Raw genomic sequence first — 26,111 nt, 5'->3', positions numbered from 1 at the left:
TGGGGCGGCGTGGGAGATTGGGCCTTGAGTATCGTGTCCCAGGGCCAAACCGCCAGGAGTCCAGGCTTCAGGACCTCCTTGATCAGACTTCCACCGATGGAGGGGGAACTTCAGGGCACCTACTGGGTTCTCAGGACTCCTCTTCAGATCCTAGTTTGGACCCCTCCTTGTTAGAAAGGATAAGCTCAGCACATCTGGTTATTCAGGCAGGGCGTCGCTGCAGCACAGAATGTTCACATGGCCCTGAAGCCGTGGTGTCAGCTGAAAGTTCACTAATCAGTGAGCCCTCTGCCTCCCTCCTCCGTTGAAAGAGCAGTGACCTGCTCCGCTTCTAAAAGCTGTTAGGCTCTTGCAAGCAGACATGGCTTTCCAGGATAGGTGCAAACAGGGACGGTGCAAATCCGAGGTGGAGACAATGCGATCACGCATGGCACTCGCGTATTTCACAGCAGATGGTGTGAATGTGTGTCACCGGAGGCATATGTTGTGATGGCGAAACCAACACTGGTGTCCAGGCATGTGCCCAGTGGAAAGGCGGAACAAGTGGCCTTTCCCTGAGCTCGAAGGAAAATCAAAGGACACCTGGGAATAAGGAGGAGGCCTGGGCCTCAGTCCAAGCCGCATTTTGAAATGCCTGCCAGAGGAGCAAGGAGTTTTCTGCAACATTCACCCCACCCCGAAGCCTCCCCTGCCCAGGTAGCCCTGACACAACCTTCCCTGCACCCAGCCCCAACCCCTTCCCCAGGGCCAGCCCAGTTCCTTTGGTTTCCTGACATTCGTTACAGCCAAAAGATTCAGGGAGTCAGTCCACCTATGCGCAGAGGAGAGGATATCCCTCATTTGTGAGACTGGACGTGCAGAGGTAATGGGACACCATCTGTCCTAAAAGACAAGGCCAGTCACGGTCACCTAGCGCTCATTCTAGGGAATCCACCCACCCATGAGGTGAAACAAGGAGACCAAGGAAGCTTCCCTGTCTGAGACACGTATGGAAGCCAAGTGTTCCAGGCTCATCAGACCTGCCTAATCCAGCAGAAACAGGTTTGGAGAGAGAAAGAGTCATGACACGGATCTCCAGGAAGTGTCTCCCTGATGGACTGGGAAGCGATCTTCGTATAAGTTATTCAGCCAGACCAAGAGGCAACTAGACCCCTCAGAAACAGGGGAGACAGAGCAAGAGGGAGGACAGAGCAGAGGCCAGAGCCCAGGCAGGTTACAGAACCTTGCCATCGCCACGGGCATAAGGGGAGGAGTGCGAAACATGTGACTTGTCCAGAGAGGCCAGTGTTCCAGGGACAGGGATTGTTGCTGTCTCCCATTCCCGGCTTCCTCTTCAGAATTGTATCGTGGTTTGGCTTCATTGCTCAGAGAAGAGCCGTGCAGGGGTACAACCATCTTCTTGAAGGTGGGTCTGCTCCTCTCCTGCCGGACAATGTGCTGCTGTGGGGTTTTGTCCTGGGCTGGAGTGTGGTCCTCTTGATCCTAGAAAAGAGGCCGCTCAGGATGGGGATGAGACTTTGATTGCTCTGGGACCGACGCATCTCCTCACATGATCGAGGCCTTCACAAACCCAAAGTGGAACCACCGTGAAAATGATGGGCAACCGGCCACAGGACCCAGGCAGAGACACAGAAAGAGGCTAACCAAAGACTGGGAGACATGCAAAAAATCACATTTTGGCGAACAGAGCACATTCTTCCAAAGACACACACGCACACGGGCATACACACACAAACACATACACACACACGCAGACCGATAGAGAGAGGGAAAGAAACACACAGAGGGTGAGAGACAGAGAAGAGATAATGGGAGACACACACACACACAGAGTCCCACTGCAGTGGCACAGAAACACACACTCCCAGGCAACCCCTGAGGCTAAATAATAGTGGAAAATATGTATCTAAGAATACACTTGGAACAGAAATGTGAAAAACCAAAAGTAAGACATATTATGAAGGATCAAATATAAAATGACCCAGTGCTAAAGAGGCAACAAAGAAAATTGTAGAAGAAAATGACAAGAGGCATTGTGCCTTAATGAGTTTGTGCTACTATATAAGAAAATACACTAGGTTGGGTAATTTCTGAAGAACAGAAATGTATTTCTCACAGTTCCATAGGCTGGAAGTCCAAGATCAAGGTGCCAGCAGGATTGGTGTCTGGTGAGGGTCTGGTCTCTGCATCCAAGATGCTATCTTGAGCACTGTGTCTTCAGGAGGAAATGCACTGTGTCCTCACATGGTAGAAGGTGGAAGGGCAAAACAGGGGAAGCCCACTCCCTCCAGTCCTTGTGTAAGGATCCTAAACTCATTCGTGAAGACTCTCCCTTCATGACTGAATCACTAGCTAAAAGCCCTACTTCCTAATCCTATGACATTGGTGATTAATTTTAGGGGGACACATTCAGAGCATAGCACCCTATATTCAATTTCTTAAAAATTATTTTGTTGTTTTGCTTTTCTGTTTTTCAAATGGCTTAAAGTGCACAAAATTGGATTAATCATAATCCTTGGCTCATAGCATACCTTGGCTCCATTTCATCCTTGTCTGTGCCTGGGCCTCTGTGTAAATGTATTTGAACAACATGGTAATTACTTGTGAACTTACAACACAACCAAAGAACTAGGGTTCTGACCCTAACATCTCCTCCTCTGTCCTTTTTCCCGATTTTCACCCTTCAGCCCGAGGGTAACTACTACCCTGAATTTATGTTTAGGATTCTCTTCCTTTAAAAAAAAAATTGTTTTATTGCATACATATGATTACCCTAAATGACATATTATTTAGTTTTTAAGGGTATAATTTATTTACCCATTCTCCTATTAATTTACCCATTCTCCTATTAATGAACATTTGGCTTATTTCCAGATTTTTGCTATTATGAATGGCATTACATGAGCATTTTTTTTTTTTTTACTACTTCTTGTACATATGGGCAAGAGTTTCTCCAGGGCCTATGGTAGAGGAATTACTTTGCCATAACATATGAGAATGCTCAAGTTTATAAGAATCCAAATTGCTTTCCAAAGTGGTTGTTCTAATTTAAACTCTCACCTCCTGTATTAGTTCGAGATGATCTTGTTGATCCACAGTCTCTCCATATTTGGTGATATGGTTTGGCTGTGTCCACATCCAAATCCCAGCTTGAATTCTATCTCCCAGAATTCCCACATGTTATGGGAGGGACCCAGGGTGAGGTAATTGGATCACGGAGGCCAGTCTTTCCTGTGCTATTCTCATGATAGTGAATAAGTCTCATGAGATCTGATGGGTTTATCAGGAGTTTCTGCTTTGGCTTCCTCCTCATTTTCTCTTGCTGCTGCCATGTAAGAAGTGACTTTTACCTCCTGCCATGACTCTGAGGCCTCCCCCACCATGTGGGACTGTAAATCCAATTACAGTTCTTTTTCTTTACACCTCTTTTTCTTCTCAGACTTGGGTATGTCTTTATCAGCAGTGTGAAAACAGACTAATACAGTAAATTGATACCAGTGGAGTGGGGTGCTCCTGAAAAGATACCCAAAAATGTGCAAGCGACTTTGAAACTTGGTAACAGGCAGAGGTTGGAACAGTTTGTAGGGCTCAGAAGAACACTGGAAAATGTGGGAAAATTTGGAACCTCCTAGAGACTTGCTGAATGGCTTTGACAAAAATGCTGATAGTGTTTTGAACAATAAGGTCCAGGCCGAGGTGGTCTCAGATGGAGATGAGGGACTTATTTTGAACTGGAGCAAAGGTGACTCTCGTTATGTTTTAGCAAAGAGAATGGCAGCATTTTGCCCCTGTCCTAGAGATTTGTGGAACTTTGAACTTGAGAATGATAATTTAGAGTATCTACTGGAAGAAATTTCTAAGCAGTAAAGCATTAAAGAGGTGACTTGGGTGACGTTAAAGACCTTCAGTTTTGTAAAGGAAGCAGAGCATACGGTTTTGGAAAATTTGCAGCCTGACAATGTGATAGAGAAGAAAATCCCATTTTCTGAGGATAAATTCAAGCTCTCTGCAGAAATTTGCATAAGTAACAAGAAGCTGAATGTTAATCCCCAAAACAATGGGGAAAATGTCTACAGGACATGTCATAGGTCATCACAGCAGCCCCTCCCATCACAAGCCTGGGGCCTAGGAGGATAAAATGGATTTCTGGGTTGGGCCAGGTTCACTGTGTGGTGTGTACCCTAGGGCCTTGTTTCTCTGCGTTTCAGCCCCTCCAGCCATGGCTGAAAGGGGAAAACATAGAACTCAGGCCATGGCCTTGAGAGTGCAAGCACCAAGCCTTGGCACCTTCCACGTTGTGTTCAGCCTGCACATGCATAGAAGTCAAGAATTGAGGTTTGGAAACCTCCACCTAGATTTCAGAGGATGTTTGAATACACCTGGATGTCCAAGCAGAAGTTTACTGCAGGGGTGGTGCTTTGATGGAGAACCTCTGCTAGGGCTGTGCAGAAGGGAAATGTGGGGTTGGAGCCCCTACACAGAGTCCCTACTGGGGCACTTCCTAGTGGAGCTGTGAGGAGAGGGCCACTCTCCTCCAGACCCCAGAATGGTAGATTCACTAACATCTTGCACCATGAGCCTGGAAAAGCTGCGGACACTCAACATCAGCCCAACTCAACATCAGCCCATGAAAACAGCCACGAGGTGGGCTATACCCTGCAAAGCCACAGGGACAGAACTACCCAAGGCTGTGAGAGGCTGCCTCTTGCATCAGCATGACCTTGATGTGAAACATGGAGTCAAAGGAGATCATTTTGAGCTTTAAAATTTGACTACCTTGCTGGATTTTGGACTTGCATGAGGCCTATAACCCCTTTGTTTTGGCAAATTTCTCCCATTTGGGACAGCTGTATTTACTCAATTACCTGTACCCCCATTGTATCTAGGAAGTAACTAGCTTGATTTGGATTTTACAGGGTCATAGGCAGAAGAGACTTGCCTTGTCTCAGATGAGACTTTGGACAGCAGACATTTGGGTTAATGCTGAAATGAGTTAAGACTTTGAGGGACTGTTGGGAAGGCATGATCTGTTTTGAAGTGTGAGGACATGAGATTTGGAGGGGCCAGGAGCAGAATAATATGGTTTGACTATGTCCCTACCCACATCTCAACTTGAATTGTATTGCTCAGGATTCCCATGTGTTCAGGGAGGGAAGCAGGGGAAGTAGTTGGATCTTTGGGGCCGGTCTTTCCCATGCTATTCTTGTGATAGTGAGTAAATCTCACAAGATCTGATGGGTTTATCAGTGGTTTCGTCTTTTGCTTCTTTTTCCTCCTTCTCATATTCTCTTGCCACTGACATGTAAGAAGTGTTGTTCATCCACCGCCATAACTCTGAGGCCTCCTCAGCCATGTGGAACCCTTACTCCAATTAAGCCTCTTTTTCTTCCCTGTCTCGGTTATGTCTTTATCAGCAGTGTGAATATGGGCTAATACATTTCGTATTGTCAAACTTCTTAATATTTGTGGAGAGAATAGATGTGTAGTATCTTGTGCATTTCCCTGATTACTAATGAGCTTGAGAAAATTTTTATGTTTTGCAGGCTTTCTCTTTTGTGAAATCCCTATTAATGTCTTTTCCCAACTTTCTGTTGGGTTGCTATTTTTAAAATTAATTCATAGGAGCTCCTTATACTTAGTTGATACGATATTAACTCTTTCATAGGTTTCAGTTACTGCAAATATCTTCTCTAATTCATAGTTTATCTTTTCACTATTTTACTTTATTTTTTAATTTCTATTTTTTGTTTTTGAGACAGAGTCTCACTCTGTCATTCAAGCTGGAGTGCAGTGGCTCACTGCAACCTCCACTTCCCGGGTTCAGACCATTCTCGTGCCTCAGCTTCCCAAGTAGTTGGGATTACAGGTGTCTGCCACTAATACCCCGCTAATTTCTTGTATTTTTAGTAGAGATGGGGTTTCACCACGTTGGCCAGCCTGGTCTCAAACTCCTGACCTCAGGTGATGTACTGTTGGGATGACGGGCTTGAGACACTGTGCCCAGCCTATCTTTCCACTTTTTGATGTAAAAAGTTCTTGATTTTGTGATAGTCAAAATGTCTAATCTTTTTTAATGGTTAAATGGCTTTTTGTGTCTCATTCACTTACATTTTCTACGAAAAGTTTAAAGTTTTGTTTCTGACATGTAAGTCTTTTGTCCGTCTGGAATTTAATGTTTGTATATAGAGTGAAGTAGGAATATAATTTCATTTTGTTTCTTATATCGATAACCATTATTTTTCTATTCTATTTATTGAAAAGCCCTTTCTTTCCTTGCTGATCTGCCATTTCACCTACATCACATATCAAAGATTAAATTTGTGGAGATTTGCTTGGGAACTCTCTATCCTGTTTCATTAGTCAATTTATCAGTGAGAACCACACTGTCTTAATTGCAGTAGCTTTATAAAAGTTCTGATATTTGGCAGGACAAATCTTTCCTCTTCTTCAATGTCTTTGATATACTTGGCCCCTTCCCTTTTCATACACACACACACACACACACACACACACACACACACACACACACACATATATATATATATATATATATATGTATATATATATAGAGAGAGAGAGAGAGAGAGAGAGAGAGAGGTCTCACTTTGTTGCCCAGGCTTGAGGACAGTGGTGCAATCATAGCTCACTTCAGACTTGAACTCCTGGGCTCAAGAGCTCCTCCTACCTCAGCCTCCCACATAACTGGGACTCTAAGGCATGCATCACCACATCCAGCTAATTTTTTTAAAAAATTATTATTTTTTGCAATGATGGGGATCTTGCTATGATGCCCAGGCTGGTCTCAAACTTTTGGCCTCAAGCAATCCTCCCATCTCAGGCTCCCAAAGTGCTGGGATCACAAGAGTGAGCCAACACACCTGGCTTCATTTTCCATATTTTAAGACCATTTTTAAAAAGCTGCTCAAGACTTCTTTTTTCTCTTGGTGTTACTTGCAACCCCCTTACTTAGCCTTGGAAATACTGTTAGTGAAGAAAATCTAAAGAGTCAAAAAATAAAATATTATTTCTTTTCTTCCCATTGCAAAAGAGCCAGACACCCTCCTGAATCATAAAGCTAGTTTTGATAAATTGGTGAACTAAGAGCATACACAGTATTATTAATTCTGTTCTAATTTCTGCTTCACTGTGGAGTGTCTTCACAGAGTCTTAAAAGATTATTGCTGTGAAATATTCTTATACATGTAACACATAAGCTCTACAATTCTGCAATTGTACTTGTCTGTCTTACCTAATACTCAGTTGCTTTGCTTCATGATATTTAAATTGGCATCTCTAATTTCCAAAAGGCATAAATACTAGTATAGATTTTTAGTTAAGCCAGAAGAAAGTAGCCTTTATTTACTAACATATCTTATATGTAAAAGTTTAATAAATCTCCCTGCTTCTTTTCTTTTGCATCATAACAACCACTGAAAATAGTATTTCTATAGCAGTTGGGGGTAAATGGACAATGACTTTTGTGGCCAGAGGTGAATGGCCCAGGGGCTTCTGCACTCCAGGTCCCACTGAGCCTGCCACACAGCTGAGGGCATCGGTATTTCCACACACCTATAGTGCACGCTGTCCCAGAACACAGATCAGATGCTCTCCTTTATTCAAATGGGGAGTTGAGAGTATTGTCGTTGTACTTAAATTAATAAATACATATTTATACACTGTTAAAATCTGGTTGGATTTGTGTCCCTTCACAAAATGAATTGCTTAAATGATACCACAGAGTTAATATAATTGAGTACATTTGCTTCTATGAGATGCTCTTTTAAATGGAATTATAATCTAATTTGAAATGTCAATTAAAAGTTTAAATATTCAACTCAATTACATTTAGATTTTTGTTTTGTTTTGTTTTGAGATGGAGTTTAGCTCTTGTCACCCAGGCTGGAGTGCAATGGCACAATCTCAGCTTACTGCAAGCACCTTCTCCTGGGTTCAAGTGATTCTCCTGCCTCAATGTCCCAAGTAGCTGGGATTACAGGTGCCTGCCACCACACCCGGCTAATTTTTGTATTTTCAGTAGAGATGGGGTTTCACCATGTTGGCCAGGCTGCTCTCGAACTCCTGACCTCAGGGGATCCACCCACCTCGGCCTCCCAAAGTGCTGGGATTATATGCATGAGCCACCATGCTCGGCCTTTTAGACTACTTTATTTTAGTTACTTATTTTTATGACTTTATTGTTATAAAAATGCTAATTTTAAAAAATCAATCAATATAACAAAGAACATAGAAGATGATCAACAAGCATTCCCACCTCTGTAATCTAGAAATAACTGTCATCAATCCAAAAGCTTACACATGGCGGGTCCCTTCACATCAGTTCACAGTACAAAGTAACTCCTTTCTTGTAGAAAACATTATTATTATCATTATTATTTTTGAGATGGAATTTGACTCTTGTAGCCCAGGCTGGAGTGTGATGGTGTGATCTCAGCTCACTGCAACCTCTGCCTCCCAGGTTCAAAGGATTCTCCTGCCTCAGCCTCCCAAGCAGCTGGGATTACCGGCATGCACCAAGATGGCCTGCTAATTTTTTGTATTTTTGTAGAGATGGGGATTCACCATGTTGGCCAGGCTGGTCTTGAACTCCTGACCTCAGGTGATCCACTTGCCTCAACCTTCCAAAGTGTTGAGATTACAGGCAGGAGCCACCACACCCAGACTAGAAAACATTATTCAATAGCAAACAGTAGCAGTATGCTTGGGGGTTTTAGGATTGATTATTTTCAAATCTCTAGAAAAGCTCAATGCATTACCTTAGGCTATAATCTCAGGGCAGAGTCTCATCTGTTAATGGGGGGCTGGTCTAAGGGTCCTTCCACCTCTCAGATTAATGGTTTCCCATGTTGAACTGCTCCCTGTCACCCACCCATCCTCAGTTTTGTTTGTTTGTTTTTACAGAGACGAGATCTCACTATATTGCCCAGGCTGGTCTTGAACTCCTGGCCTTAAGTGATCCTCCTGCCTTGGCCTCCCAAAGTGCTGGAGTTACAGATGTGAGCCTCTGTGCTCAGCCCATCCTTGGCTGTTCAATTGTGGAGGTAAGTAGTAGATGCCAAGTTTACCTCCAGGTCAGAAGGGGCAGATGCCCCAGGGCAGAATCATAACCATAACCAGGCCTCCCAATGCATGAAGACATTATGTTCTGAAGCTTAAACCTGGACAAAGTTCTGACCAGTAGCACTGTGTTCATGAATATCGGGTCAAAAATTTAAAACTGGGACTATCCAGAAGAACCTGGTAGATGCAGGTGCAGTCTACAGTCCAATGGTCAGCCATGATAACAGGCCACCTGTACTTTCTCTTTATCATGGAGTTCTTGATGTAAAAATTGATGACACTTTCTTCCTTCTGATGTGCTTCCCTTTCTTCTTCATTTTCCATAAGTAGTTTCCTCCATCCCACCTCCCAACAGGCCACAGTCAATTCAGGACATTTTAACCATGAAAATGAGTGTCCATAACATGAATTTAGAGGCCAGACAGGGTGGATCATGCCTGTAATCCCAGCACTCTATGAGGCTGAAGTGGGAGAATGGCTTGAGCTTGGGAGCTTCAGACCAGCCTGGGCAACATGGTGAAACCCTGTCTCTAACAAAAAATAATTAAATAAAAAAAAATAAGCCATGTATGGTGGTGCATGCTACTAGTCCCAGCTACTCAGGAGGCTGAGGTGGGAGGATTATGGGGCCAAGGAGGTCAAGTATGGAGTGGGCCAAGATCATGCCACTGCAATCCAGCCTGTGCAATGGATTGAGACCTTATATCAAGAAAAAAAAAAAAAAGATTTAAAGGACAGGCTGACTTTCTTGTTACAAGCCAATGCTCATTTGCTATTCCATAAATCCTAGGGCACCTCTTAAGAATTATGCTAAATCTACTCTACCCATGCTCTATAAATGGAACAACAACACTTGGATGATATCAGAGCTGTTTACCGCATGGGTTACTGAGTATTTTAATCCCACTGTTGAGACCTACAGCTCAGAAAAAAAGATTCATTTCAAATACTTCAGCTTTTTGACAATGTACCTGGTGACTAAAGAGGTCTAATGGAGATGTACAGGGAAACGCATGCTGGTTTCATGCCTGCCAACACAACATCTATTCTGTAGTCCATGGATTGAGGCATCATTTTGACTTTCAAGCCTTATTATATGAGAAATATATTTTATAAGGCTGTTACTGCCATAGGTCATGATTCCTTTGATGGATCTGGGCAAAGTCAATTGGAAACCTTCTGGAAAGGATTCACTATGATAGATGCCACTATGAACATTCATGATTCACCAGAGGAGGTGAAAATAGCAGCATTAATAGGAGTTTGGAAGAAGTTGATTCCAACCCTCATAAATGACTTTGAGGGGTTCAAGACCTTAGCAGAGGAAGTAACCACAGTTGTGGTGAAGATAGCAAGAGAACTAGAATTACAAGTGGAGCCTGAAGATGTGAGTGAATTGCTGCAATCTTTTTTTTTTTTTGAGATGGAGTTTTGCTTTATTGCCCAGGCTGGAGTGCAATGGCGTGATCTCGGCTCACCACAACCTCTGCCTCCTGGGTTCAAGTGATTCTCCTGCCTCAGCCTCTTGAGTAGCTGGCATTATAGGCATGTGTCACCGCATCCAGCTAATTTTGTATTTTTAGTAGACAAGGTGTTTCACCATGTTGGTTAGGGTGGTCTCAAACTCCCAACTGCAGATAATCCGTCTGCCTCAGCCTCCCAAAGTGCTGGGATTACAGGCATGAACCACCACACCCAGCCAAATTGCTGCAATCTTAATGGAAATAAATGGAATTAGATGGAAAAAGTTTAGCCTGGGGCTCAGGATCGGCTCTCCCTTTACTACGACATTCCTCTGCAGGGCACCAAGGAATCAGAGAATTCTACACTCGACTTTGACCTTGTGGGTGATTATGGCAGTATATTTATCAAAGTAGGAGAATAGAACACATTTAACTATTTGTTAGCTTCATTTATAACTCATAATTATTTAGACATAATGCAAATGTGGGCTGGAATTCATGTTCTGATTTTTTGTGGCCTTGAGCTAAGGAAAAGGGACCCAGGGAGATGGAATTTATATGCTTGGATGGCTTCATGGAATCCCCAACTTCTTTAGCTTCTGTGACAACTCAAGATTGTTACTAAAATCCACTTTGTATTATCTTTAAAAACCAAGGGATATCACTTTTGCTTATATAATACATAATATTATAATACATATTATATTATAATAATACATAATATAATATATATTACATTATAATAATACATAATATAATATATATTACATTATATATTATTATATGATGTTATATGGTATATATAATTTAGATTATATAATACATATATAATATATATAAAATAATATATTATTGTTGCTTATTATGAATGAGGAAAGAAAGTGGTTTCTTGGGATGGAATCTACTCCTGGTGAAAATGCTGTGAACATTGTGGAAAGAACAACAAAGGACTTAGAATATCCTATAAACTTAGTTGATAGAGGAATGGCAGGGTTTGAGAGGATTGGTTCCAATTTTGATATAAATTCTACAGTGGGTAAAATGCTGCCAAACTGCGTAGCACACTACAGTGAAATCTTTTGTGAAAGGAAGAGTCAGTTAATGCGATAAAATTCATTGTCATCTTATTTTAAGAAATTGCCACTCCCTCTCCAGCCCTCAGCAACCACCACCCTGATCAGTCAGTAGCTATCAACATTGAGACAAGACCACCCAGCAGCAAAATGATGATGACTTGCTGAAGGCCCAGATGATGGTTAGCATTTTTTGGCAATCACGTATTTTCAAAGTAAGGTATATACATAATATTTTAGACATAATGCTATTGCACACTTAATTGACTACAGTAGCTTAAACATAACTATTTTTTTTTTTTTTTGAGTTGGAGTCTGGCTCTGTTGCCCAGGTTGGAGTGCAATGGTGTGATCTTGGCTCACTGCAAACTCTGCCTCCCAGGTACAAAAAATTCTCCTGCCCCAGCCTCCTGAGGAGCTGGGACTACAGGTGCACACCACCATTTCTGTATTTCTGGTAGACACAGGGTTTCACCATGTTGGCCAGGCTGGTCTCGAACTTCTGACCTCAGGTGATGCACCCGCCTCGGCCTCCCAATGTGCTGGGATTACAGGCATGAGCCACCATGCCTGGCAACATAACTTTTATATGCACCAGAAAGCAAAAAATTTTGTGTGACTTGCAGAAAATTTCGTGTGACTTGCGCTGTTGTGATATTCACCTTATTGTGGTTACCTAGAACCAAACCTGCAATATCTCCAAGGTGTGCCTGTATCCCTAGAAGCAGAGCTGGAGTAAGGACTTGGGTGTGGGTGGTTTATTTGGGAAGTGATTCCAAGAAGCAAGAGTCAGAAGTGGGAAGAGTGAGCCAGGCAAGAAAGAAAAGCCAAAATGACATGCTATTGAGGCTCCTGCCATGCAGTTTTTTCTGCAGGACCTTCCGAGAGGCTCCGGAAAGTTATCCAGAACTGTCCACCTGAAACATGAGCCTGCAGCATTTGTCCACCTGTCCCACACTGGTTGAGGTCTTCCCCTGAGGCTGTTAACCTGCAAGTGCTTCTGGGCTGTATTTGTGCTCAGGCAAAATCCTACAATAATGGAGATGCCCTAGGGCAGAAAGTGTAGCTTGAGTTTGCTGGCAGCACAAGGGAAGCCTGCGCTTCCATGGAACTTCCCACAGTGGCTGAGACTGAATGAAAGGTGAGCTGAGAAGACATGACACAGACGCCATTGCACTAAGCAATCGTAGCCATCAATCTGGGCAAGAGGAACCCTACCCTGAATCCTGCACTTTAGAAGGTGCCTCTCTGGCCCTCCACTGACTGTACCCTGGCCCACCCAGAGCTCTCACCCTCTCTTCTAGGGCACACGCTGGGCACTCAGGGCCCTGGCGAAATGTGCCTGAGCCTGCATGGCCTCTTCCCTGGGTCCATTTCAAAGCGCAAACTGTGCTTGTCCAAATGGTGCCCAAGGCTCTGCTGTCTGAAGGGGTGAGAATTGTGGATGGAGCTTGCATGGGGCCTAGGGAGTCCCCCACACAGGGGTACGCAAAGCTTCTCAAGTGCGGACAGGGTTACCTACGATGAAAGAAAAAAGTTTAGCCTGGGGCTGAGGATCGGCTCTCCCTTTACTACGACATTCCTGTGCAGAGCACCAAGAAATCAGAGAATTCTACACTTGACTTTGACCTTGTGGGTTATTATGGCAGTACATTTATCGAAGTAGGAGAATAGAACATATTTAATTATTTGTTAGCTTCATTTATAACTCATAATCATTTAGACATAATGCAAATGTGGGCTGGAATTCAAGTTCTGATTTTTTGTGGCCTTGAGCTAAGGAAAAGGGACCCAGGGAAATGGGCTCTATATGCTTGGATGGCTTCGTGGAATCCCCAACTTCATTAGCTTCTGTGATGACTCAAGATTGTTACTAAAATTCACTTTGTATTATCTTTAAAAACCAAGGAATATTATGTAGATCAGTGGTTAGAAGGCACTTGACTCAAAATATCTATGAACCAAAGGATATAAATGACTAAAAGCAAGAGGACTATTATTACCTGAAGAGGTGGAGGGTTGATCTCAGGATATGACCTGTGAGATCCTTCCTGCTGGCTCAGTGCTGGCTGAAAGAGGGACAGGAGAGCACCAGGAACAACACATATCTGGGACAGGAGGGAATGCAGGGAGGAAGGAAAGAGAAATAGGCCCTTTTATTTTTATTGATACATGGCAATTATACATATTTCTAGGGTACGTGTGATATTTTCATACGTGCATACACTGTGTAGTGATCAAATCAGGATAATTTGCATATCCATCACCTCAAACATTTATCATTTATTTGTGTTGAGGACATTCCACATCTTTCCTGTAGTCATTTTGAAATATATGTTATTGTTAATGATCGTCACCCTACTGTGTTATTGAGCACTAGAAATTCTTCTGTTCCTTCCATCTAACTGTATTTTTGTGCCCATTAACCAACTTCTGGGAAGGGCAAAAGAGTGGGTGGATGAAAAGGGCCCTTTTTAAGGAAAAGTAAATCTTACAAGAAGGGAAGACATCTTAGGAGGAAAGATAAAAATGTGGACCATGGGCTTAGAGTAGGGACTGCAGAAATTGAATGGCAAAGAAAAAACCAACTTAGCAATGTGAAAATACATCTCAATGTCATTCCTTTCACAGGTCCAGTGTCTGACTATTTTGGGAAGCTGGATATGAAGTCAGAATCTTTCTTTGAGTCATACATTTTTATGATTATGATTATTATTGAATGATAGCTGACAATTATTGAGAGCAATTATTGAGGACAATTATTGAGCTTTCACAAGCTCTTTTCAAAGGCCTTTACATACATTTTCTCCACTTCTAATTGTGAGATATTCTTATTATTCCCATTTTGTAGATGAGGGATGCACAGGCATAAAGCCTATGTGGAGGCAGAGAGCAGCTAAGTAACCTGACCATGGCCCAACAGCAAACAAATGATGGGGCCACATGCAAATCCAGGCAGAACCCTTCTATTATATAAAGCTCAATGTTTTCTTGTTTGCATCTTGTTATGAATACATCTATTTGCAAATGGGCTTTGAAGCTACTTTAAAACATTTTGTGGCTGTGAGTGGTGGCTGACACCTGTAATCCCAGCATTTTGGGAGACCAAGGTGGGCAGATTGCCTGAGCTCAGGAGTTTGAGACCAGCCTGACCAACATGGTGAAACCCTACTAAAAATACAAAAAAATTAGCCAGGCATGTTGGTGTGCACCTGTAATCCCAGCTACTCTGGAGGCTGAGGCAGGAGAATCACTTGAACCCAGTAGAGGAAGGTTGCAGTAAGCTGAGATCATGCCACTGAACTCCAGCCTGGGCAACAGGTGAGATTCTGTCTCCAAATAAAAAATAAATAAGATTGAATTTTGAGCTCCTGACCATGTCCCTAGATTGTACTCATATGTATTTTGATGTCTAATAATATTTATTCTTAGTGTGTTTTTTAAGTGAAAGTATTTATTGAGCATCTACTGTATACCATGTGCTGAGATAGGCACCAGTGGTGCAGGGAACATATGGCACAGTCTCTGACCTCAGGTAATTTTTCACTCTCATACATATGTATTAGGACACCAATACATATGTGAATATAAGATAGTATGATAGATATTGCAACAAGTAATTTTTTACTGTAAACCTATTTTATAGGATTTTGAACTTAAACTACTTTCACCCTATTTCCAAAAAAAGTATTGCATAACTTTAAATGGATTCTCAGTTTGAAATCATCATACAAACTGCAGTAGCATCTTCTGGTGAAATACTGCTTTGTATCTATTAGAATAGTCCAAACAATTGGGAGAGAACTGCATTATTAGAGCTGTAAAAGTTACTGTCTAGAAATCTCAGAGAAGAAGAGGAAGTTCTATGGTAGATGAATAAGATGACATCTAAACTGTTCTCTTAAGCTACTGAAGTTCTGTGGATATCTCACAGCACAAAGTTCAAATGTATGCCCACAACTCCTCATGCCACAAGATGTGACAACTTTCCAATCTCTTTTTGCAAAAGTTTCCAATTATGTCTCTTTTAAGAGTACTTTTTATACCCACATATTCTGGATTTTGTAGTGCACACAAAGACAAGATGGGAAGGGGCTTCCATTTATTGATGCCAGTTGCTCTATGGACCAGGCCCTGCCCATGCATCCGTGTTGGTTCTTTTATCCCCACATCAACCATAGCCCATAGGCATTAACTGCCATTGCACAGATGAGGAAATTGAAACTCTAAGAGAATATGCAATCTACCCAGAGTCATGCAGCTTGTGTATGTAAGGGTTGGAATGAAAATACAATCTGTGTGAGTCCTAAGTCCCCTTCCACCATATGGTTTCCATTTCATTTTGCAATCAGCTTGGCTGGGATATGTCTGCCCTAAAAGATAGTAAGTAGAAATATTTGTCTCTATACCTTAACCTGACATCCATGGGCTTGCTTTTTGTATTTGGATGTGTCATAACATTGTAATAATAATTTGATCTTATTTGAACCATGAATATTATACTACTCAGTCTAGAGATTTATGACATCCCAGTCTAAACTGTGTGATAGCAATGAAGCTTCTTCAAGGAGACAAGTATGAGTAATAAGGTAGTAATAAGTTGAATTTCTATGGAGTTGCTACTTCTGAATTAAAACTAGTTGAGGTTAAGTAGATATTCAAAAAGATCGCTATAATCTTCACTTGAATAATACACTTATTATTTTTACATATTTATTTATTTATGGAACATAGATGTAATTTTAAAACAAAATTTTTGCAAATTGTATTAAAATATATTAAAAACATAATACATTATGACCCAATAGAGTTTTTCACAGTAATTCAGTGTTAGTTTAAAATGTGAAATTCAATCAGTATAATTCACCATAGAATACAGTGTGTATGTCAGTATAATATATATATCAAAATTGGAAAGAAGTAAATTTATCTTTGTTTTGTAATAAGATGAAATTAAAATTTTAATGAATTTCAACTTTCATTTTAGATTCCGGAGGGTACCTGTGCAGGTTTATTACATGGGTGTATTGTGTGATGCTGAGATTTGGGGTATGAATGAAGGTGTGAGTGCCTGTCTTGAACTTGCACCGAGAGCAATCTCCCCTGATCAGCAGAGGGTAAACTAACTTGAGTTACACTTGAATTTCTTAGGAGAGCAGGTCACAAAGGGCAAATTGTGGTCCAGAGACAAAAGTGCTCAATGGTCTAAAATGAGCCTGCCATATCACTGAGGGTACAGGTCTTCACAGAAATATATTTCAGAAAGGGGTCAAAACCTTGTTTAAAGATAAATGTAAGCTGGGTGTGGAGGCACATGTCTATAATTCCAGCTACTCAGGAGGCTGAGGCAGGAGGATCCCTTGGGTTCAGGAGTTTAAGACCAGCCTGGACAACATAGGAAGATCCATCTCAATTTTTAAAAATGAGAAAAAAATAGATAAACTTAAGCATATTAAATTTTTAAAGAGTTTATTTGAGCAAACAGAGATTCATGGATCAGGCAGCTCCAAACTGAAAGTGGTTGAAGGATCTACTGGAGGTGTTTGTAAGGAAGGCTTTTATAGGGTGAATATAGAAGTAGAGTAGAGAAATTATTTGGTTGGCAAAAATTTGGGCAGTTGCATTATTTGAACTATCCTGGTGGTAGGTCTCTCATTACACAGCTAATACTCAGCGGGCCACTTGCTGATGGGCTAAGCTTGTTTCATTTTGTCTATGTAGGAACCCTGGCCATGGGAGCTATCTCAGCCTAATGCTCTCCCATTATGATATTTTACACCTTCTTTCTGTATCAGGGTAAGTGGGGGTCTTCCCCAGGAGGGTTCTTACCACCCTGTTTCCCTCAGCAAAATGAAACTGTCCCTTTTGCCTCTGTAGGCAATCTTCTGAACAAGGCATTCCTAATATTCTTATCTCATCTTATTTTATCTTATCCTCTTCTCTGTACCTTGTTTACATGCTTCTGGAACACTTGTGTGTCTTGCACCCATCTCCTGCATTATTTAGGCAATCCTAAAAAAAGACCACTAGGATGGATTGGTAGAGAACTGCTGGCATATTGAGCCCTCTCTCTTCATATCTGGAACTTTCATAATTACCTTAGTTCTCCATTCCAATTTTGCACTTATCTTTGTTCTCCACTTCAAAATACATTTACCTCTAACAGAAGCTGAGTACATAAAAGGGACCTTGTCCAGTGGTACTTATGAGGCAGGAGACATGATATAGTTAAAATTATAAACTATAATCACTATATAGTTATATACTATATATAATCACTATATCACTCCCGGGTTCAAATGATACTCCTGCCTCAGCCTCCTGAGTAGCTGGGATTACAGGCATGTGCCACCACACTAGAATAATCGTATATGTTTTAAAATAGGAATAGATTTTCTCAGCTAAACTGTAGGGAAATGCTAAGGAAAGAGTGAGATTTGACTTGATAATTATGTGTCTGAATGAATCAGCCAATTAATAAAATGAAAACAGGCTGGGACAGTGGTGCATGCCAGTCATCCCAGCAATTTGGGAGGCTGAGGTGGGCAGATCACTTGAGTCCAAGAGTTTGAGACCAGCCTGAGCAACATATCAAAACCCCGTCTCTACAAAAAATACAAAAATTAGCCAGGTGTGGTGGCTCATGCCTGTAGTCCCTGCTACTTGGGAGGCTGAGGTAGGAGGATCACCTGAGCCTGGAGATGTAGAGGCTGCAGTGAGCTGTGATCATGCCACCGCACTTCCAGCCTGGGTGACAGAGTGAGACCCTGTCCCAAAGAAACTAAACTAAAATGAAAACGAACACAAGATAAAAATTGATGGATTTATTTTAACACATAACGTGATGAACACACATAGATAACAATACTAACCCAGTGGATTTTTGTCAGTCAAACTCATGGTCACTAGTCTAAAGGAAATAGGAATAATGACTTTGAATTAACAACCATTTACAACATTAGAAATAAAAAATACAAATTATCATCAGATATATCAGACTCACAATTATCTGACCTTTTAAGAATTCATCCTGCTCTCCATAATGAATAAGAAAATATTGATAACTCTTTTTTCTCTTAACTTAGCCCTTCATGCTCCAGAATCTCTGAATTTGTGTTTACATCTTCACACTCTTTTTTTGTAATTATTTTCTGCAGCTTTTTTCTCTTCACTTGAGACATCTCGTATATTCTCTTTACACTTTTCCACAAATGACTCAATTTTTTTCATAAGCTTCATTAATGAGTTCCATGTATGTGATGATAGTGTAATGATAAATTATCCATGTAGTTTCCCTCCAGTCTTGTTCATTACTCAAGTGACTCTCCTTGGTTTAGCAACAGGCTAGGAGGTACCTATGACATTTTGTTCAGGTTAAGCAGAAAGAAGAAAACAAAATCTATGTTCTCTTTTTTATATTTTAAACAAAAGTCAACAAATAATTTGGAAGTACCCATGATTAGACAGGGAGGATTTTATGCTCCTTCAAGAGTAATTGAGATTGTTTAATTGTATGGAGGAATGAGCATATCTCAAGGGGAATTGAGAAGATATAATATTTGGATGACAGAATCATTAAGAACTGGCTTTGCACCCTGGCTACACCATTGTACACAGGAAATATTAGGGTGCAGTGGTGCATGCCTGTAATCCCAGCACTTTAGGAGGCTGAGGCAGGTGGATCACCTGAGGTCAGGAGTTCAAGACCAGCCTGACAAACATGGTGAAACCGCATCTCTACTAAATACAAAAAATTAGCTGGGTGTGGTGTCACATGCTTCTAATCCCAGCTACTTGAGAGACTGAGGCAGGAGAATCACTTGAACTTGGGAGGCAGAGGTTGCAGTGAACTGAGATAGTGCCATTGCACTCCAGCCTGGGCAACAAGAGTGAAACTCTCTCTCAAAAAAAAAAAAAAAAAATTAACTGTGCCACCAACTTTTTCACATAGGATGATTAAGGATTACAAAGCCCATGCTACCTCTAGGGGCTCCTACCACTGCCACACCACACATATATCTTGACAGGGCCTGTTACAGAGAAGAAAAGGCACAGTAAATTAATATCACAATCATTGCCACATACCCACCAAAAGACTCAAATTAAAATTTTGACGAAATTAAGTGTCAAGAAGAATGCAAAGATTAGGGAATTATCAGACATTGTAAGACTGTCAGTTGGTGTGTTAACATTGGGATGAAACCAATAATACCTAGTAAAACTGAAGATATGTTTACCCTGTAACCTATGGTTTCACCTCTTGCTTTATACTATACATAAATACACACTAATGGTAACCAAATGGAAATACAAACATGTTCACAACAACATCATTTGTAACTGACAAAAATGAACACAACCCACATGTCCACCAACAATGAAGGGATACACACTGGTCCAATTTTTATTTATTTTTATTTTTTTATACTTCTTTTATGTATATAAATATAAATTTATATATATTTTTTGAGACAGAGTCTTGCTTAGTCGCCCAGGTTGGAGTGCAGTGCAGTGGTGCGATCTCGGCTCACTGCAACCTCCGCCTCCCGGGTTCAAGCAATTCGCCTGTCTCAGCCTCCCCACTAGCTGGGATTACAGGTGCGTGCTGCCACTCCTGGTAAATTTTTGTATTTCTAGCAGAGATGGGGTTTCACCTTGTTGGTAAGGCCAGTCTCAAACTCCTGTCCTGAGGTGATCCACCTATCTCGGACTCCCCAAGTGCTGGGATTACAGGTGGCAGGCACTGCGCCTGGGCTTTTTTTTTTTTTTTTTTTTTTTTTGAGACTGTCACTCTATTGCCCAGGTTGGAGTACAAGGGCGCGATCTTGGCTCACTGCAACCTCCACCACCTCCCAGGTTCAACTGATTCTCCTGCCTTAGCCTCTCAAATAATTGGGATTACAGGCACACACCACCACAGCTGGCTAATTTTTTTTTTTTAAACAGAGTCTAGTTCTGTCACCCAGGCTGGAGTGCAGTGGTGCAAACTCGGCTCACTGCAACTTCTGCCTCCCAGATTCAAGTGATTCTCCAGCCTCAGTCTCCTGAACAGCTGAGACTAGAGGCATGTGTCACCATGCCTGGTTAATTTTTTGTATTTTTAGTAGAGATGTGGTTTCACCATGTTCGCCAGGATTGTCTCCATCTCCTGACCTCGTGGTCCACCTGCCTTGGCCTCCCAAAGTGCTGAGATTACAGTCATTAGCCACCACATGGCCTAATTTTTGTAGTTTTAATAGAGATGGAGTTTCACCATGTTGGCTAGGGTAGTCTGGAACTCCTGATCTCAAGTGATCTGCCTGCCTCGGCCTCCCAAAGTGCTGGGATTATAGGCATGAGCCATCCTGCCTGGCTGGTGTACTGTTTTAATAGAATGCAGAAACAATGCTAAGTGTGACTCTTAGATACTTAATATTGAGTAAAAGGGGCCAGATGCACCAGGATACAGACTTTTACTCCAATTATGTAAGAGAAAAACCAGGCAAAATCAGACTTTACTTTAGGCATATAAAAAATGCATAATAAGGCCAGGCACTGAGGTCAGGAGTTCTAAACCAGCCTGACCAACATGCAAAACCCCATCTCTAGTACAAATACAAAAATTATCCAGGCATGGTGGCACATGGCCCATGCCTGTAATCCCAGCTACTTGGGAAGTTGAAACATGAGAATCGCTTGAATCTGGGAGGCGGAGGTTGCAGTGAGTCAAGATCATGCCACTACACTCCAGCCTGGGTGACAGAGTGAGGCTCCATTCCCCCCCCCAAAAAAAAAAGATATAAAATACATAATAAAATTATAAAGATAACCAAGGAGAGGATGGCAGATATCCACAGGTAATGTGGATATCTGTTATATCTGTTACTAATAAGGGGAAGGAAGACTTTAGGATCAGTTAGGGGCATACAGATGACTTCTCGGTGGTGATAGTGCTCTATTTCTTCACATGGATAGGTATCACACAGATGTTTATTTAATAACTGATGTATCCATATCTTTGTTTGTATATTTTAAAATAAGAATGAAATAGAGGAAAGGAAGGTGAATGGAAAGAGATTTCTCCATTCATCAAAATTTTAAAGTCATGTTTTTCCTCAGATTCTTCTCCAAGCTCAGTCTGAAATGATGAAAGCAGCCAAGCATTGTGGCTCACGCCTGTAATCTCAGCATTTTGGGAGGCTGATGTGGACGGATCACCTGCGGTCAGGAGCTGGTCAACATGGTAAAACCCCATCTCTACTAAAAATACAAAAATTAGCTGGGCATGATGGTGGGCACCTATAATCCCAGCTACTCTATAATCCCAGCTACTCGGGAGGCTACAGTGAGATGAGATCACACCACTTGACTCAAAAGAGTGAAACTCTGTCTCAAAACAAAACAACAACAACAATGACAAAGGAAACAGGAAAACATCCTCAATAATAGAGGATTTACTAAACTAGGGTGCAGCCACTCATACTGTGTCTTGATTTGTAGATTAAGAAAATGATGATCCTTCTTAGGTACTGATTTAGAGTGACATTTCTGTGAAAATAGAGAAATACTTACATATCCATAGAATACATATATGTATTTAAAATTGTATATGAGCATGACATATACATACATATTTGTGTGTATGGCATCTGCATCCTTGTATGTTTAAATACGATCTGGCAATTGCATTCTTTGGTATATACCCAAATATTTGAAAACTTATATCCACTCAAATCCTGCACATGAATATTTACAGCAGCTTATACACAACTGACAAAGATTGGAAGTAACCAAGATATCCTACAATAGAGAAATGGATAAACTAACTCTGAAACATTCATGCAATGGAATATTCTTCAGGAATAAAAAGAAATGAACTACAAGGCATGAAAAGACATGGAGGAATCTTAAACATGCATTTCTAAGTGAAAGAAGCCAATACAAAAAGGCCACATAATATAGAGTTCCAATTATATGGAATACTAGAAAAGACAAAACTAGGCAGATGGTATTATAAAAAGTTCAGTGGTTGCCAGAGGCTTGAGCAGAGGGAAAGATGAATAGGTGGAGCACAGAAGATTTTTAGGGCAGTGAAACTTTTCTGTGTGACCCTATAATGGTGGATATATGTCCTTAAGCATTTGTCAAAGCCCATAAATGGTAGAACACAGAGAGTGAATCTTAATATTAGCCATGAACTTAATAATATCAATATTGGCTCATCGAGCATAACAAATTACCACACTAACAAGATGATAATAGAGGAAGTGTGTGTACTATGGTGTGAGGTGGATATTAGAGCTCAATATGCCTTCTGCTCTATTTTTCTGTACACCTACAACTGTTCTAAAAATTAGGTCAGATATTTATTTATTTACTTTTTTTTTATTTTTTGAGATGGAGTCTCATTCTGTCACCCAGGCTGGAGCACAATGGCCCGATCTCGGCTCATGGCAACCTCCGCCTCCCAGGTTCAAGTGATTCTCCTGCCTCAGCCTCCTGAGTAGTTGGGATTACAGGCACCAGCCACCATGCCTGGCTAATTTTTTGTATTTTTAGTTGAGACGGGTATTCACTGTGTCACCCAGGATGGTCTTGATCTGCTGACCTCGTGATCCAACCGCCTTGACCTTCCAAAGTGCTTGGATTACATGCATGAGCCACCGCGCCTGACCTTATTTATCTTTTTGAGACAGGGTTTAGCTCTGTCACTCAGGCTGGAGTGCAGTGGTGCAATCATGGCTCAATGCAGCCCCAACCTCCAGGGCTCAAGTAACTCTCCCGCCTCAGCCTCCTGAGTAGCTGGGACCACAGGCATGTGCCACCATGCCCAGCACATTTCTTAGACCTCTGAAACGATGCCCAACACCATATGTCACTAGGGGATTCAAATTAAAACAATGATGTGATACCATTACACATCCCTTAGACTGGCTTGAATGCAAACACCAATACCAAATGCTGGTGAAGACATGGAGCGACAGGAACTCATCTCTATTTCTGCTGAGAATGCAAAGTGGGACAGCCACTGTGGAAGGCAGTTTTGCAAGTTCCTGCCAGACTAAACATACGCTTACCATACGATCCGGTGAAAAAATGAAATTTTAAAAACATATTTTATATACTTAAAACATATACATTTAAATAAATACATATTTTATATATATTTTTAAAGTATATATATTGTTATTTTTTGTAGAGACAGTCTCTACAGACCATAGCATGCAGAATCTATTAATTTTAAACTCTTGGACAAGCGTTTTAAACTCTTGAACAAGAAATTATTTGAAGAGTGAAAAATAAAATGATAGAGTATTGATTGGTAAATTCCAAGTGTTGTATATTACATAATTTGGATTAATTTTAAATTCCAAAAAGTGAAAATTTAAAAAATATTTAAAAAATTTCCTAATCCGAGGTCAAACCTAGTTCAACACATTCAAGAGCTGATTTCAGAGGAGAGATAAGTGGTCAACAAGTCCTTAGGTTTTGACTTTGTTTTCCGACTATTTGTGTTTGTGAATGCTTAATTTTTAGATTTCGTTCCTTTCTTCTTAGCGTATTGACTAATATTTTATTAAGCCAGAGAGACAGTAAGTTAGAATTATCTGTTTGTCCATTTTATCTGTTATAAATATTTCCTCCAAATTCACTTATCTAAAGTTTTTGGTATATTTAGTCGGGTGCAGTGGCTCACGCCTGTAATCTCAGCACTTTTGGAGGCTGAGGTGGGGGATCACTTGAGGTCAGGAGTTCAAGATCAGCCTGGCCAACATGGCAAAACCCCGTGCCTACTGCCATACAAAAATTAGTTGGGTGGCTGGTTGTTTTGGCTCACTCCTATAATCCTAGCACTTTGGGAGGCCAAGGTGGGCAGATCACCTGAGGTCAGGAGTAAAGAAACAGAGAGTAAAGAATTTCTGAGACCAAAAAGTCTGAGAACAGCTGCTCAATATATTCATTCAACAAATATTTGTCTCCTTACCGTGTGCATGGTACAGTTCTAGGCTCTAGGGATAAATAGCATTGAACAAAATTGACAATTCTCCTGCTCTCATCAAGTTTACATTCTAGGGGACATAATAAAAGAACAGAGATGATTTGTCAAAAAGCAGTCCGGGCACAGTGGCTCATGCCTGTAAGCCCAACAATTTGGGAGGCCGAGGCAGGGAGATCATTTGAGGTCAGGGGTTCGAGATCAGCCTGGCCAATATGGTGAAACCCTGTTTCCACTAAAAATACAAAAATTAGCCAAGGCTGGGTGTGGTGGCTCACCCCTGTAATCCCAACACTTTGGGAGTCTGAGGTGGTTTGGGTCACCGGAGATAAGGAGTTCAAGACCAGCCTGGCCAACATGGTGAAACCCCATTTCTACTAAAATACAAAAAAAAAAAAATGTTAGCCAGGTGTGGTGGCAGATGCCTGTAATCCCAGCTACTTGGGAGGCTGAGGCAGGGGAACCACTAGAACATGGGAGGAGGAGGTTGCAGTGAGCCGAGATCACACCAATGCACTCCAGCCTGGGTCACAGAGTGAGACTCCATCTCAAAAAAAAAAAAAAAAAGTTTTAAGTGCTATGGAAAAAAAAGGGAAGTGGTAAATAGATTCAATTTCAGATAGGATGATCTCTGACAAGGCAAGAATCATGTTAAGACATGAAGAAAATTAAGACAATGATCCTTACAGGTATATGGAGGGAGAGCTTCTTTTCTTTCCTTTTCTGTTTTATTTATTTATTTATTTATTTATTTATTTATTATTTATTTATTTATTTAGACAGAGTTTCACTCTTGTTGCCCAGGCTGCAATGCAATGGCACCGTCTCAGCTCATTGCAACCTCCACCTCCCGGGTTCAAGTGATTCTCCTGCCTCAGCTACTCTCCCAAGTGAAAGGTGACCAAGAGAGCCATTGAAAATAGTGAGAGTGGCTGGGTGCGGTCCCAGCACTTTGGGAGGCCGAGATGGGTGGATCATGGGGTCTGGCATTCGAGACCAACCTGGCTGAGAGGGTGAAACCCCATCTCTACTAAAAATACAAAAATTAGCCGGGCATGGTGGTGTGCCCCTGTGATCCCAGCTACTCTGGAGGCTGAGGCAGGAGAATCACTTGAATCTGGGAGATGGAGGTTGCAGTGAGCCCAGATCATGCCACTGCACTCTAGACTGGGTGACAGAGCAATATTCTGTCTCAAAAAAAAAAAAAAAAGAAAAGAAAAAGAAAATGGTGAGAGCACCATGTTTGAAAAGTGGTCCAGGCACTGGGGTAAGGGGTGAGTGTCAGCCAAGTCATCAGCTATCAGAACAGGAAGCCATCAGGTAATATATCAAGTTGATATATTGAGAAGGAGCAGGATCTACCTATTATATAATATAGAGATAAGCACTCAGATATATAGATTAGAAATGGTTTAGAAAATTTAAACATTTGATTATTCAGGAAGTATACCTGGGAGCATTGGAGAAACAGGGTGGGGGAGTAGACTGCATGGAAAGCTCTTTCTTAGTTTGTGAATTTTC

At 41.3% G+C, this 26,111-nt stretch overlaps 1 long non-coding RNA gene across 1 annotated transcript in view; it reads right to left on the bottom strand.

Annotated features, from left to right (window-relative positions):
• Positions 1-1,983: 1,983 nt before the first annotated feature.
• Positions 1,984-26,111, bottom strand: part of LOC105375302 (uncharacterized) — a 45,033-nt gene continuing 20,905 nt past the window's right edge. Inside the window, exons 2-3 of the long non-coding RNA XR_001745217.1 lie at positions 13,618-13,722; positions 1,984-2,215 (exon numbers count right to left, since the gene is read on the bottom strand). This is a non-coding gene — a long non-coding RNA (uncharacterized LOC105375302). The remainder of the gene's footprint in view (positions 2,216-13,617; positions 13,723-26,111) is intronic.

Source organism: Homo sapiens, chromosome 7 (assembly GCF_000001405.40).
Source record: "Homo sapiens chromosome 7, GRCh38.p14 Primary Assembly".
Lineage (NCBI taxonomy): Eukaryota > Metazoa > Chordata > Mammalia > Primates > Hominidae > Homo > Homo sapiens.
The sequence above is the reverse complement of the archived record's forward strand: the minus strand, read 5'-3'. Positions and strand labels throughout refer to the sequence as shown.